We start from the raw sequence: 16,591 nt of genomic DNA, 5'->3' as shown, positions 1-16,591 counted from the left end.
ATGATAATAATGTCAGAACAAGAGGCATAAACCAGGACTGTCTTGGGCAAACCAGAAAACCAGAACATGTGGTCATCTTACCTTTAAGGCCTTACATGATGTGCCTTCTCTGTTCCTTAACCTTTTTTTTTTCTCCAACCTCTTAACCACTTTTGGTTTGTCCCTTACCTCTTTAACTGCATGTCCTGAAACTCTCCTCTTTGCTTATCCTGTTCCGACCACATTACCCTTCCTGATGTTTCTTTTTTATTTTTGAGACAGGGTCTCACTCTGTTGCCCAGGCTGGAGTGCAGTGTGGCACAGTCATGCTCACTGCAGCCTCTCGACATGGGCTCAACTGCTCCTCCTGCCTCAGCCTCCCAAATAGCTGGAACTACAGGCATGCGCCACCACGCCCAGCTAATTTTTTTATTTTTGGTAGAGACAAGAGTCTCACTATGTTGCCCAGGCTGATCTTGAACTCCTGGGCTTAAGCAGTCCTCCCACCTCTGCCTCCCAAACCTTTTTTTTTTTTTGAGACAGAGTCTCACGGTGTTGCCCAGGCTGGAGTGCAGTGGTGTGATCTCGGCTTGCTGCAGCCTCCGCCTCCCGGGTTCAAGTGATTCTTGTGCCTCAGCCTCCCGAGTAGCTGCGATTACAGGCATGCACCACCACACCTGGTTAATTTTTGTATTTTTAGTAGAAATGGGATTTCACCATGCTGACCAGGCTGGTCTCAAACTCCCAACTTCAGGTGATCTACCCGCCTTGGCCTTCCAAAATGCTGGGATTACAGGCGTGAGCCGCTGTGCCCAGCCTCCAAACCTTCTTGATGTTTCTTGTTAGTGCCTAGCACACTGCCATCTTAGAGCCTTTGCTTTTTCCCTAGAAATCTGTGTGAATTGCTTTCTCATTAGTCCTTTAGGTCCTTGTTTACATACAATTTATCAGAAAGATTTTCTCTGACCACCTATAAAATAGTACTCTGCCCCTTCACTCTGTCCTTCTTACTTGCTGCTTTATTTTTCTTTACAGCACTTATTGCCACCTGACATTATTAGTTTGTTGTCCATTCCCACCCCATGAGGACAGAGATTTTGATTTGTTTGTGACTTTCCCTGGTGCCTAGAACAATGCCTGGCACACAGGGCTTAACTAAGTATTTATTGATTTAATACATGAATGAATGAATGTTTAGAATTGTCATAAATCAATATATGGTTTGATAGAAGAAATAATAACTAGTGTTTGATAACTCAGTAGGGTGACTAGTTTGCAAGAATCTACTGTACATTTCAAAATAGCTAGATGAGAATAATTCAGATGTTTCCAGCATAAAGAAAAAACAAATATTTAAGATGATGGATATCACAAGTACACTGATTTGATCTTTACAAATTATATAAATGTATGAAATTATATGTACTGTGAAACTGTACATGCTTAATGCATCAATAAAAATATTGTTCAAAAAGAATTGTAAACCATGGGAAATTTAATAGGAAAAGTTATTTTTGTTCTTGATACACAGGTATACAACTTTTTTCACTTTTGATTGTGGTAATTATTAATTAATTAGTTTGGGAACTTACCATGGAAGTTCCTAAATAGTGTATTTTCCCTAAAAACTGTCAGGATTAATATGTTAATGTAGAGCCAGTGTTCGAGGTATACTTTATGAGTCTTTAGGGAAACAGTTACTTCAGTAATATGTGATGCTTGTGTGTGAACTATTGAAGGTAAAAAGGACAACCTTGGCAACTTAGGTGGTTTTGTTTTGGTCTCAGATTTCTGGGTTTTTTCCTTCTGCTTGTCCACCTCCCTTCCCCCTCAACATACATGCTCTCATCCTAGAGTTTACTCTCTGCCTTGACTTTTTAGAGACCTAGGTTCTACTCTTTATTTTTTTTTTTTGAGACAGGGTCTTGCTCTGTCACCCAGGCTGGAATGCAGTGGCACAATCATGGCTCACTGCAGCCTTGACTTCCAGGGCTCAGGTGATTCTCCCACTTCAGCCTTCCAAGTAGCTGGACTACTTGCCACCACACTTGGCTAATATGTATTATTTGTAGAGATGGGGTTGCCATGTGTGCCCAGGCTGGTCCCAAACTCCCGGACTCAAGCGATCTGCACCCCACCCCCCCGCCACCAAGCCTCCCAAAGTGCTGGGATTACAGGTGTGAGCCACCGTACCTGACCCCCCCGCCCCCTTTTTTTTAAACTTCTTTTAATTCAGAAAATGCCAGGATCTCAGTCATGTAATCTTGTCTTATTGTGCTTTGGTGTAAATAAGTTTCTATGCCTTACTTCCCAACATTTGCATTTTAGAACTTTTACTCTAAATGGTAGCTTTCTTATCCATAAAAGAATTTCAAATAGATTAGGAGGAATAGGGGAAAGGGGAGGCAGGCAGCAAAGCCTGTCTTTTGTCCCTGAACTGATACTACCGCTGACATGAGATGGTTCTTTTAGGGTCTCTGAGGCAGGTAGGAGGAGTGGGAACAATGATTCCTGTTCTTTCTACCCCCAGAAACTCTGCTCCCCTTCTCCCCTTATAGATACCCATCGTTCTCATTCTCCCCCTCCCTTGAGGTGAAAACAAGGGCTGTGGCTTCTCAAGGAGTGTTCTCAAGAGGTTTGGCTTGTAGAGGAACTTGCCAGTAGCTGCCTTTATTTGCAGTCTTCTAACAGGGCCTTAATTTCTGCTTCATCTCTCCGGTCTGCTGGCCCTTCCAGCCCCCACCTAGTTCCCTTTATCATTCTGACCATAACTTTAACTTCCATCTCACCGTCTACCCTAAGAGTAGGAGGTAACTATAAGCCAGAGATCATTTTAATATTTTCTCCTCCTTGTACTTTGAACCTCTGGAAGTAGTTTTAGTTTTTCTGTTCCTGTGGCACGTGGGTGGGAGACAATCTAAATGGCTGGGTGTGTGTACTTCAAGAACTGATTAGCTGTGGGAGAGGCATGAGAGTTGTTTAGGCCATTGAATCTTGGACTGTGGGATAGAGGTTAACAGAATGTGGCAATTCAGGAGGCATTAAGGATCTTTCTAGGCATCAGTGGATGTGAATGTTAAATGGTATAGCTTATCTGGGAAGAAGTTGACATTGGTTGCTGGCTATCAGTATTGGAGGACTAGCAAAAAGAAACTTAAAAATCCTGTTGGAGCTGTTTAAAAGCAATAAAAATTTTTCATCTAACCACCATGCAGCATAATTACTGTAAAACCCTTGACATACACTGGTCCTTTTGTATGCTTAGCTTCCAGTTTTGTCCACCATAACACAATGTGGAGGGATTATTGCTTGGAAACAGGTATCCATTGGATACAGGGAGGCTGGCAACCAAGTAGTAAGTTCTTCTGCATCTGTGACCATTTTGGTCTTAAAATAATCTTTTCTCTGACACCCTATGATATAGTGTGCTAATGTGGGACTTGGGCTTTTTAAATGTTTAAGGTTCATGCAATACATTTTGAAGTATTTTGAATGGAGAAAAATGTTCTTTTGTTGGTTTTTGCCTTATAACCATACTGCTGGAAACTCATAAATCTAAAAAAGAGTAGGTAGCTACATGAGCCTGTAGTAGCTGTTTACCCAGTTTTTCTGAAACATTAACGTATTTAATAGAGTCAAAGTAAAGACTATTATCACATTAGAATGAAGGTATGCATGTATCTAATCCGTTTTTTTTTTTTCTTCTTAGACTGCCAAGGAAATCTGATGTGGAAAGGTGAGTATGGAAAAAAAAAACCCTTAAAGTCTCTTTATTGATCAATCTATGAGTGTTGGTGTGTGGGTATGGGTGGTGTAGGGCTGTGGATTGGAAACCTAGGCCCAAAGAGTCTAGAATGATTTTTCACACCATGTATTTAGGGAGTCCTGGGAAATGTAATTTCCTCACCCTTAACAATACTTGTTGTGAGACCAGTTCTAAATCTTCTGTTCTACAAACCTTTATTGAGTGACTGACCTGGTCAAGTCCCTAAGGGTGATATTAAGATAAAGAAGGTATAGTCTGTAAAGGAAGATGCTGAGGAGCAGCAGACTGGCTTTAGAAAGTTGACTGCCACGGGCATAGTGGCGGGCGCCTGTAGTCCCAGCTACTCAGGAGGCTGAGGCAGAATAATTGTTTGAACCCAGGAGGTGGAAGTTGCAGTGAGCCGAGGTCACGCCACTGCACTCTAGCCTGGGCCACAGAGCAAAACTTTGTCTCAAAAAAAAAAAAGAAAGTTGGCTGCTAATTTATCACTTGCAACAATGATGCTATTAAGTATCTTTAGAGAGTTGACATTTGCCTACTGCTCCTACTGTTACATAGTTAACATTTTGGTTCAGTTGGAGCTTGGAGCTTAAGATTTAACTTAAGGCTAAAATGTTTCCAGAGGCCAAAGGAACAAGCGAAATTAAAGTTTCAAAGAAATCATTTGATGGAGATTTAAATTGTAACTAAAGTATATGGTACTTGACCGTATCTTTGGCACTACTTATGCTCCTTGGTTGATTTTTTTTTTTTTATACCAAATCACTTGGCAACTTTTTAGCATTTCTTAATGGCAACACTCCATTGCCAACCCCAACTTAACTTTTTGATCGAATTAGAGATCAAGAAGGTAGAAGTGAAAGAGACAACTAGGGCAACCTGTGTTATGGTTTGGCTGGTCAGTATTAAAGGAGGAAAACGTTAAGTCAAGGATTTGTTCTGTCCGCTCTGGGGTATGAAGGGAAACTGGGCCTTTGAAAAACTGACTCATGTTGCCTAGCACTTGAGACAACATGGTGTCAGAAAACCATGTTACTATAGTTTACAAAGGGGGACATCTCCATTGTAGTAGAGGACTGCATTTGGGAAACCGAATTAATGATAGACAAGTGTGTTTGCTCTGTGAGAGGAGCAGAGACCTTGCATCCTCTATAAGCCATTGCTGAGTTAGAGTGAAAGGTACTGAGGTTCCCAGCCCTGAGATCTGCTGGATCTTAATGTGTGTTTAACATTTCTGCTATGTCTCAGTCTTGTCTTATGATCCTTCGTAGACACTGGCAAAGAGTCATAATTATGCCCTTGATTCTTCTCTTTATAGTACCACTAATCATATTGCTGGCCGATTTTTAAGAGAGCCTTTTAGGGTGCTTGTGGGCTATGTGTGCTCTCAGTAGGAGCTAGCCTCTAGCCTTCAGTCAGGATTGTACTTCAGCAAGAACTTTTACTTTGGTGCATTGCGTCATGGTGGTGGTATTGGCAAGATGCAGAGATGTGGACTGGATCTGCAGGTCATTGAACAGCTGTACTAAGATTAATAGGTCAGAGTCTACTTGGAGGGAGGTTGGTGTCCTGCTGGGTCTGGTCATCGGTCCTGGCTTGTTGAATATTTTTTTCAGTGTTTTAAAGTAAACCATAAAAGATATGATTATCAGTTTTATAGCTGCTATGAAGTTGAGAGATCTAGCTAACACGTTGATTGACATTAGTAAAGCTTTTGGGATTTTAGGATGAGATAAAAGTACTGATGAGTATTAGGGGAAAAGTAATAATAGTGAGTATAGGATAAAACTAGATATGGACAGACCTTTTATTTTTAGTACTCAACATAATTTCTTTAGCTTTGCTTGGATATTTTTTAATGTATCCAAGTTTGTCATTGAAATTAGTTTGGTAAAGAGTTACATAGTTAAGTTCTTTAATTGCTCAATCTTTCATGCTGGTGCAGGATGGGAACTGGTGCCCTTTTGTAGAATGAATACAGTTTCAGGCTTTGGTAAAGATCAGTTTCAATTCCTTTCACTTACCAAAAGGGTTACTAATTACTTACTAATTAAATTACTCCTAATTTCAGTTATGAACTTATAATTCATAACTCCTCATTTAATCCCTTCTGTGAAGCAGTTTACTTCTACCACCATATACTGAATTTAGTATATTTTTGTAAACAACTTTTATTACAATATAAAATTAATTTTAAAATGTGACTTATTGCTAAAACATTCTATTGGGTTTATTGCTCTGAGGTGAAAAAGCATATGCAGATAATATACAAAATGTGACAATAGTTCATATTTAGATAAATATTTTAGGTGGCTCATTTTGTAGTGGTTGTAAGCAAAGGCTGATTTATTTATTTATTTATTTTTGCTTAGCTGAAATAAATTGTGAAATACTGTTTCTAATATGTTGGTTCATTAAGAGTTGTTTTATTTTATAGGAAAATAGAAATAGTGCAGTTTGCTAGCCGGACACGCCAACTCTTCGTTCGATTATTAGCTTTAGTGAAATGGGCTAATAATGCTGGCAAAGTGGAAAAATGTGCGGTGAGTTAAACTTTTTATTTTACTTTGTATAAAATAACTTTTCGAATGTTATGATAGACATAGTTTTACATTTTAGCTTTAACTTATCCCTGCTGATTTGAGTGACATGTGAATAATCATATTTCTGAATGATAATGTATATTTCTGCAGAAACTTAGTATTTGTTTATGGACACCTGATCAGAAAGAAGAGGAGATAGCTGGAGACATCATTACGTGAGGAGACTTTAAATATGAGACTGGAACTAAAGGGGGAAAATTGTTAGTTTATATTCGTGCTATTCCTTAGAATTTGCAAGGTTCTCCCTTAAATTTTGCTTATGAATTCTTGACATCCTGTGAGAATGGCAGAGTTGGTTTTTTTTTTTTTTTCCAGTTTTACAGATGACAAAATGATAAGGTTCCTAGAAGTTACATGGCTTCTTCAAGGTCACAGAGGCTGATAACAGCATTTTTCTGTTTGTTTATCTACTAATTCTCTAAACCTCTAATAAGCACAGGGTATAGGGCACAGAGGATGGAATCTTCAATAAGGAATAGTCCCTGCCTTCGAGAACCTCATGGTCTTTTGACTGTTGAATCACTCTTTGGAATGCAAAGTGACATGCAGTGCAGTGTACCAAAGATGCTAAAATCTACCAAAAATAAAGTTTTATGCTATGTTCAAGAAGCGTTAAGGAGTAAAAACTTGATTGTTTTTCAGATTGTTCACTATTGGCATATAGAAATACTACTGATGTTTTGTATGTTGATTTTGTATTCTGCAACTTTACTGAATTTATCAGTTCTAATAGTTTTTTGGTGGGGTCTTTAGGCTTTTCCAAATATAAGATCATATCATCTGCAAACAAGGATAATTTGACTTCTTCCTTTCCAATTTGGATGCCCTTTCTTTCTTTCTTTTGTCTGATTGCTCTAGCTAGGACTTCCAGTACTATGTTGAATAATAGTGGTGAAAATGGGCATCCTTGTCGTGTTCCAGATCTGAGAGGAAGGGCTTTCAGTTTTTCTCCATTCAGCATGATAATTAGCTGTGGGTCCGTCAAATATGGCTTTTATTATGTTGAGGCATGTTCCTTCTATACCCAGTTTTTTGAGGGTTTTTATCATGAAGGGATGTTGAATGCTATTACATGTGTTTTCAGCATCAGTTGAAATGATCACATGGTTTTTGTTTTTCATTCTATAGATATGATGTATCACAGTGATTGATTTGTATATTTTGAACCATCCTTGCATCCCTGGGATAAATCCCACTTGGTCATGATGAACGATCTTTTTAATGTTTTGTTCAATTTGGTTTGCTAGTATTTTGTTGAGAGGATTTTTGTATTAATATTCATCAGATGTATTGGCCTGTAATTTTCTTTTTTTGATGTGTCTTTGTCTGGTTTTGGTATCAGGGTAATACTGGCCTTGTAGAATGAGTTTGGAAGTTTTCCCTCTTCCACTATTTTTTGGAATAGTTTAAGTAGGATTGGTATTAGTTTGTCTTTAAATGTTTGGTAGAATTCAGTAGTGAAGCCATAAGGTCCTGGGCTTTTATTTGCTGGGAGACAAATTATAATTAATATAATGAATTATAGCTCCATTCTTGTTACTTGTTATTAGTCTATTCGGGTTTTGAATTTCTTCATGGTTCAGTCTTCACAGGTTGTATGTGTCTAGGAATTTATCCATTTCCTCTAGATTTTCCAATTTATTGTCATATAGTTGCTTACAGTAGCCACTAATGATCCTTTGAATTTCTGTGGTATTAGTTGTAATGTTTCCTTTTTCATCCCTGATTTTATTCATTTGGGTCTTCTCCCTTTTTTTCTTTGTGAGTCTGGGTAAAGGTTTGTCAATTTTGTTCATTTTTTCAGAAAACCAGCTTCTTGTTTCATTGATCTTTTGCATTGTTTTCTTCATTTCAAATTCATTTATTTCTGCCCTGATATTTATTATTTCTTCTAATTTTGGTTTCAGGTTTCTCTTGCTTTTATAGTCTTTAAGATGCATCATTAGGTTATTTATTTGAAGTTTTTCTTCTTTTTTGATGTAGGCACTTATAACTATAAATTTATCTCTTAGTGCTGCATCCCATAGGTTTTGGTGTGTTGTGTTTCCATTATCATTTATTACAATAAATTTTTAAATTTTCTTCTTAATTTGTTCATTGACTCACCGTTCATTTGGGAGTGTATTGTTTCCGTGTGTTTGTATGGTTTCCAAAATTCCTCTTGTTGTTTTCTAGTTTTATTCCATTGTGGTCAGAGAAGATGCTTGATATTATTTCAGTTTTTCTGAATGTTTTAAGACTTGCTTTGTGGCCTAACATATGGTCTGTCCTTGAGAATGATCTGTGTGCTGAGGAGAAGAATGTGTATCCTGCAGCCTTTGGATAAAATGTTCCATAAATATCTATTAGGTTTATTTGTTCCACAGTGCAGATTAAGTTCCATGTTTCTCTGTTGAGTTTCTGTCTGGGAGATCCGTCCAATGCTGAAAGCGGGGTGTTGAAGTCTCCAGCTATTATTGTATTGACATTTTGTTCTTTAATAATATTAGTATTTGGTTTATATATCTGGGTGTTCCAGTGTTGGATACATATATGTTTACAATCATATCCTTTTGCTGAATTGACTCCTTTATCATTAATGACCTTCTTTGTCTCTTTTCATAGTTTTTGTCTTGAAATCTATTTTGCCTAAGTATAGCTACTCCTACTCCTTTTTGGTTTCTGTTGACATATAAATCTTTTCCCATCCCTTTATTTTCAGTCTATGTATGTGTGTCTTTATAGGTGAAGTATGTTTCTTATAGGCAACGGATCATTGAGTCTTGTTTTTTAAAATCTATTCAGCCACTCTGTGCCTTTTTATTAGAGAGTTTTGTTCATTACATTCAGTGTTATTATTGATAAGTAGAGATTTACTCCTGCCATTTTGTTGTTTTCTCATTGTTTTGTGGTCTTCTCTTTTTTCCTTCCTTCTTGTCTTCTTTTAATGAAGGTGATTTTCTCTGGTGACATGATGTAATTTCTTGTTTTTTATTTTTTGTGTCCATTGTATTTTTTTTTTTTTTTTTTTTTTTTTTTCTGAGACGGAGTCTCACTCTGTTGCCCAGGCTGGAGTGCAGTGGCGCAGTCTTGGCCCACTGTAACCTCTGACTCCCAGATTCAAGCGATTCTACTGCCTCAGCCTCCTGAGTAGCTGGGATTACAGGTGCATGCCACCATGCCCAGCTAATTTTTGTATTTTTAGTAGAGATGGGGTTTCGCCGTGTTGGCCGGGCTGGTCTTGAACTTCGGACCTCAGGTGATCCACCTGCCTCGGCTTCTCAAAGTGCTGGGATTACAGGCGTGAGCCACCGCGCCCGGCCCATTGTATGGTTTTTGATTTGAGGTTACTATGAGGCTTGCAAATACTGTCTTTTAACCCATTATTTTAAACTGATGACAACTTGACACTGATTGCATAAACAAACACACAAAAAGAAAACTAATGAAAACTCTGCAGTTTAACTTTATCTCCCTCCTTTTTAACTTTTTTGTTTCTCTTTAGTTCTTATTGTCTTCAAAAGTTCTGTATCTTCAAAAGTTGTTGTAGTTACGATTTCCTGTTGGTTTACCATTTAGTCTTTCTACTGAAGATAGGAGTAGTTTACATAGTACAATTACAGTGTTATAATATTCTGTGTTTTTCTGTGTGCTCACTATTACCAGTGAGTTTGTACCTTCAGATGATTTCTTCTTGCTTATTGACATATTTTTCTTTCAGATTAAATAACTCCCTTTAGCATTTCTTGTAGGACAGGTCTGATGTTGATGAAATCTCTCATCTTGTTTGTCAGAGAAAGTCTTTATTTCTCCTTCATGCTTGAAGGATGTTTCCACCGGATATACTATCCTAGGGTAAAAGTTTTTTTCCTTCAGCACTTTAAATATGTCATGCCACTCTCTTCTGGCCTGTAAGGTTTTCACTGAAAAGTCTCCTACCAAACATATTAGAGAGCACCATTGTATGTTATTTGTTTCTTTTCTCTTGCTGCTTTTAGGATCCCATCTTTATCCTTGACCTTTGGGAGTTTGATTATTAGATGCCTTGAGTCGTCTTTGGGCTGAATCTGCTTGGTGTTCTATAATCTTCTTGTACTTTAATGTTGGTATCTTTCTCTAGGTTTGGGAAGTTTTCTGTTGTTATCCTTTTCAATAAACTTACTGCCCTTATCTCTCTTTTTCTGCCTCCTCTCTAAGGCCAGTAACTCTGAGATTTGTTCTTTTGAGGCTGTTTTCTAAATCTTGTAGGTGTGCTTCATTCTTTTTTGTTCTTTTGTCTTTTGTCTCTTCTGACTGTGTATTTTCAAATAGCCTGTCTTCAAGCTCACTAATTCTTTCTTCTGGTTGATCAACTCTGTTATTAAGAGATTCTGATGCATTCTTCAGTATGCCGATTGCATTTTTCAACTCTAGAATTTCTGCTTGATTTTTAAAAAAATTATTTCAATCTCTGTTAAATTTATCTGATAGGATTCTGAATTCATTGTCTGTGTTTTCTTGAATTTCTTTGAGTTTCCTCAAAACAGCTATTTTGAATTTTCTGTCTGAAAGGTCACATATCTCTGTTTCTCCTGGATTAGTTCCTGGTACCTTCTTTTGTTCGTTTGGTGAGGTCCTGTTTTCCTGGATGATCTTGATGCTTTTAGATCTGGGCCTCAAAGAGTTAGGTATTTATTGTAGTCTTTGCAGTCTGGGCCTGTTTATGTCTGTCCTTCTTGAGGAGGCTTTCTAGATATTCAAAGGTACTTAGGCCCCAAGCTCAATAATGCTGTGGTTTTTGCCGACTCATAGAGGTACTGCCTTGATGGTCTTGGATAAGATCTGGAAGATTTCTCTGGATTACCAACCAAAGGCTCTTGTTCTTTTTCCTTAGTTTCTTCCAAACAAACAAAGTCTTGCTCTTTGTGCTGAGCCACCTGGAACTGGGGGTATGGTGATGTAAGCACCCATATGGCCACCACCACTAGGACTGTACCAGCTCAGACCTGAAGTCAGCACAGCACTGGGTCTTGCCCAAGGCTCAGTGTAACCACTGGTTACACTGGTAACCTGGCTACCACTTACCTTCACTCCAGGCCCTAGGGCTCTATGATCAGCAGGTGGCGAAGCCAGTCAGGTTTGTGTTTTTTGGGATGGCAAGTTTCCCCAGGCTTTGGGTGAGCCCAGAGATGCTGTCTGGTGGCCAGGGATTAGAGTCAAAAACCTTAGTAATTTGCCTGATATTCTTTTCTTACTGCGGCTAAGCTGGCACTCAAACCACAATACGAATTCCTTCCTGCTTTTCTCTCCCCTTTCCACAGGCAGAGGAGCCTCCCCCTTTGGCCATCACCGGCTCATGGGAGGGGTTCTGCAAGGCCACCACTGATGCTCACTTAAAATCTAAGGGTTCTTCAGTCAGCTTGTGGTGAATACTGCCAGGCCTGGGACTCATCTTTCAGGGCAGTGGGCTTCCCTCTGGCTCTGGGGAGGTCCAAAAATGCAGTCCAAGAGCCTAGGCCTGGACTTGGGGACCCCAAGAGCCTGCTTGGTGCTCTACCGCACTTTGGCTGAGCTGGTACCTAAGGTGCAAAACAAAGTCCCCTTTACTTTTCCCCCTGCTTTTCTCTAACAGAAGGAGTCTTTCACCATAGCCACCACAGCTCGGAATGTGCTTGGTCACACCTGAAGTCAGCACATTTCAGAGCCCAAGGTCCACGGCATACTACCTGGGTATCGCCGCTGGTTATTCAGGGCCCAAGGGCTCTTTTATTCAGCAGGCGATGAATCCTGCCAGGGCTGGGTCCTTTCCTTCAAGGCAGCAGGTTCCCTTCTGGCCCAGGGTGTGTCTTTGTCATCTGTGAGCTAGAGCCTCGAATAGGGGCCTCACTACTCTGCCCGGTACCCTGTCCTACTGTGGCTGAGCTGGTATCCAAGATGCAAGACAAAGTCCTTTTTACTCTTTGCTCTCCTCTCCTCAAGCAGAAGGAAGGAGTCTCTTTTGTTGTCAAAAGCTGCGCTGCCTGGGGTTTGTGGAAGGGTGGTGGAAGCACTCCCTTAGGCCCCCCAGCGGGTGTATCCCTAGGTCATGTGCCACCTAGTCCTCTGGCTCTGAGTCCAGCCTAGCACTAGGAGTTGCCTAGGAATTGCAGTGCTTGTGTCCTAGACAGCCTTTCATGTTTACCTAGGACTCCAGAGTACTTTGGCCAACATTAGCAAGGCTTGCTGAGAAACTCAAGTTCCAACCGCTGCGATGGGCAATTCTCTAGCCAAGGCTGGTCCAAATGCTCCCTCTGGCCCAGCACAGCTTTGCTCTCCACTATGACAGGGCAGTACTGAGTTCAGTGTAAAGTCCCCCAGTCACTATTCTCTCCCTCCCTTAAGTGCAGGGCCTCTGTTGGGGTGGCAGGGGAGGGGTGGTGTCAGGGATTCAAGACTGCCTCTCCTGCCCTCCTCAATGCCTCTTTCAGTGATATGAAGTTAAAACCAAGTACTGTGATTGCTCACCTGATTTTTGGTTTTTGTAACAGTGCTTTTCTGTGTGCAGATAGTAAAAATTTCGTGTTCCTGGAGAGGGGGTGACTGGTGTTGGCTTGTATTCCACCATCTTGCTCTGACCCTCTCAGCATTTTTGTTTTCTGAATGTAGATACAGATGTGTTTATGTCAGGGATAAAGTCCATCAATGAGAATTAGAGGGATTGTTCATGTTTCAGCACTTCTGTTCTCAACCTAATGATTATTTAACTAGTTTGTTAGAGATTCTTGATAATGATCTTTAGCCATGCCAGATGTGTTATGAGTGTATAGATCCATAGTTTATGGAACTCTGACTAATGGTAAAACAACCTGGATAATGTTTTGCCTAAGAAAAAGATAAAATATCTCTCATTCTCCTAGATATTTTTTTCAGTAGCTTTACTGAGATATAATTTACATACCATACTATTCACCCACTTAAAGTATACAATTCAGTGGTTTTTGTTATATTCACAGATATGTGCAACCATCATCACAGTCAATTTTAGAACATTTTAATCACCTCAGAAAGAAAACCTGTGCCCTTTAGTTACCACCCCAGCTCTCCTCTAGCCCTAAGCAGCCACTAATGTACTTTGTTTCAATAGATGTGCCTATTCTGAACATTTCATATAAATGGAATCAAATGTGTTGTGTTGTGATTGGCTTCTTTAACTTAGCATTTTTTTTTTTAGTGTAGTATTTTCAAGATTGATTCATGTGGTAGCTTGTGTCACTACATTCCTTTTTATGGCTGAATTGCATGGATATACTACATTTTGTTTATCTGTTCATCAGTTAATAGGCATTTGGGTTGTTTCCAGTTTTGGATTATTATGACTAATGCTGTTGTAGATAGTCATGTCCAACTGTTGGGATGTATGCTTTTATTTCTCTTGACTGTATACCTAGGAGTGGGATGGCTAGGTCATATGGTAACTCTTTGTTGAACTTTTTGTGGAACTGCCAGACTATTTTACAAAGTGGCCACACCATTTTACATTTCCACCAGCAATGTATGGAAGTTTAGTTTCTCCACATCTATGCCAACACTGGTTGTTACCTGACTTTTTGAGTCTAGCCATCCTAGTAGGTATGAAGTGGCATCTCATTAAAGTTTTAATTTGTATTTTCCTGATGACCAGAGATGTTGAACCTGTTTTCATGTGCTTATTGGCCATTTGTGTATCTTGTTTAGAGAAACATTTATTTGGTGTTAAATTCTAAAGGAGATTATTATTAAACATATTCACAGCTGGTGTGTGAATACCTAAAAATAACATGGATTAGTTCTTTGTGAACTAAGACTATGTGAATGGATTCACTAATCAGTTACTCAAAACTCAAGTTTTATCTTTTATTTATTTATTTTAAGACATGAAGTCTCACTCTGTCACCCAGGCTGGAGTGCAGTGGTGTAATCACAGCTCACTGCAACCTCAAACTTCTGGGTTCAAGCAGCCCTCCCACCTCAGCCTCCCTGAGTACCTGAGACCACAGGCACTCACACTACTGTGCCCATCTAATTTTTAAAAAGTTTTTATAGAGATGGGGTCTTACTTGGTTGCCCAGGCTGGTTTCGAACTCCTGGCTTCAAGCAGTCTTCCCGCCTCTGCCTCCCAAACTGCTGGGGATTACAGGTGTGAGCCACCACACCCAGCCAAGTTTTATCTTTATTAATTGTATTTCTAAGTTCAAGGAATGTAGCTGAAGCTAGTGTATTTTGAGTTCAGTGAAGTAGTTTAGAGAGTGTTTCATTAATTGTTTATGTTTAAGTGGAGTGATAGGGGCTGGATAAACTGTGGCATCCCAGTAGGGTTGATGCATGTCTTTCTGCCGGGGAGGTCTTTGGTACTCTTTGAGCTTGACCTTGGTCTGATAAGCATTTTTACAGTGACCTGAGTTAAGGGAGATGTGAGATGGCCTAAATCTGAGTAAAAGCCAGTTAAAAAGTTGAGAATGTATTAGCAGTGTCATGACTGTTAATAAGAAGTTAGTGTTGGTGGCATTGATAGAAATTCATTGTACTAGTCATAGAAGGTAGCATTTTTACTGGACCATGCTGTATATTGGGTCTAACTAAGAATTAGAAGAAATATTTTTGTTGTTGTTGTTTCAGCTCTTCTGATTATTGACTTTCTTTGGGCAAGTGTCTTAACCTAAGCCTCAATTTTCTCATCTCTAAGATCATAGTAATTATCTGGTTGTACTTCCTAGAGTTGCAAAAATCAAATAAAATGTTTGAAAACACTGAGAAATTGTAGAGCACTGTGTTTGTGTGATGTTGGTATTAATTCTGGGTACTATGTTTTAAGTTGGCCACTGACAGCCTGTTTGAAGGACATGAGAGAGAAAACTTTAAGTGTTGTTCTAGAATAGAACTAGAAGATGGCCGGGTGCAGTGGCTCACGCCTGTAATCCCAGCACTTTGGGAGGCTGAGGCGGGTGGATCACCTGAGGTCAGGAGTTCGAGACTAGCCTGGCCAGCATGGTGAAACCCCGTCTTTACTAAAAATACAAAAATTAGCTGGGGGTGGTGGTGCACTCCTGTAATCCCAGCTACTCAAGAGGCTGAGCCAGGAGAATTGCTTGAACCCGGGAGGTGGAGGTCGCAGTGAGCAGAGATCATGCCACTGCACTCCAGCCTGGGCGACAGAGCAAGACTCTGTCTCAAAAACAAAACAAAATGAAACAACAACAACAAAAAAACCATGAACTAGAAGATAAAGGTTTTAGGGAGGTAGTTTTTAGCTCTGTGATGAGCTCTACTAGTTTAGGTATCCTTATGAAATGCATTGGGTAGAAAACTGATGGAAAGGATTTCTGTATTGGGCATGAAGTTGACCTGTATCTCATAATGGGTGTTTTGGAGTGTTTTCTATGTTCTTTCTAGGCACTGTTCTAAAGGTTTTTTATGTGTTAACTCTTTTTTTTTTCAATTGATATATCATAGTTGTACATATTTTGAGGGTACATGTGATATTTTGATACATGTACATAGTGATCAAAGCAGGATAATTGGGATATTAATTACCTCAGACATTTTTCTTTGTGTTGGGAATGTTACAGTTCTTCTCTTCTGGTCGTTTTGAATATACAATAAATTATTGTTAATTATAATTTCCCTACTCTACTATTAAATACTGGAACTTATTCCTTTTAACTATATTTTTGTACCAACTTTTCTTCATACCTCCTCCCCCCTTCCCAGCTTCTCCTAACCAGCATTCTACTCTCTACTTCCATGTTATCCACTTTTTTAACTCCCACATAGGAGAGAGAATGTGCAATACTTGTCTTTCTGTGCCTGGCTTATTTCACTTACCATAGTGACCTTCACTTCCATACGTGCTGTTGCAAACGGCAGGCTTTCATTCTTTTTTATGGCTGAATAGTATTCCATTGTGTATATGTACTGTATTTTCTTTATTCATCTGTTGATGGACACTTGGGTTGATTCTGTATCTTGGCTATTGTGAGTAGTGCTGCAGTAAACCTGGGAGTGCAGATATCTTTTTGGTATGCTGATTTCCTTTCTCTTGAATATATATATACTCAGCAGTGGAATTGCTGGATCATATGGTAATTATATTTTTAGTTGTTAGTGGTTTTTTTTTTTTTTTGAGACAGGGTCTCATTCTGTCACCCAGACTGGAGTGCAGTGGCACAGTCATGGCTCTTTGCAGCGTCAACCTCCTGGGCTCAAGTGATCCTCCCTAGTAGCTGTGAGACCACAGGCATACACCACTATGCCAGGCTAATTTTTTTGT

At 39.4% G+C, this 16,591-nt stretch overlaps 1 protein-coding gene across 9 annotated transcripts in view, besides 1 other annotated feature; it reads left to right on the top strand.

The window, feature by feature from the left end:
- MED14 (mediator complex subunit 14) overlaps positions 1 to 16,591 on the top strand; it is an 87,855-nt gene that overhangs the window by 3,126 nt on the left and 68,138 nt on the right. For all 9 annotated transcript variants that reach the window (XM_047442636.1, XM_047442638.1, XM_047442643.1 and 6 more), the window contains exons 2-3: positions 3,689 to 3,715; positions 6,183 to 6,288. In XM_047442636.1, the coding sequence (XP_047298592.1) occupies positions 3,689 to 3,715; positions 6,183 to 6,288 (133 nt within the window). The remainder of the gene's footprint in view (positions 1 to 3,688; positions 3,716 to 6,182; positions 6,289 to 16,591) is intronic.
- Positions 2,614 to 2,663: a silencer, noted in NCBI's record as "silent region_20766". NCBI's record gives its function as "represses an Ori minimal core promoter by ATAC-STARR-seq in GM12878 lymphoblastoid cells {active_cell/tissue: GM12878}" and the evidence as "EXISTENCE:reporter gene assay evidence [ECO:0000049][PMID:35858748]".

The sequence above is a fragment of the Homo sapiens genome, chromosome X (assembly GCF_000001405.40).
Source record: "Homo sapiens chromosome X, GRCh38.p14 Primary Assembly".
Taxonomy (NCBI): Eukaryota; Metazoa; Chordata; class Mammalia; order Primates; family Hominidae; genus Homo; species Homo sapiens.
The sequence above is the reverse complement of the archived record's forward strand: the minus strand, read 5'-3'. Positions and strand labels throughout refer to the sequence as shown.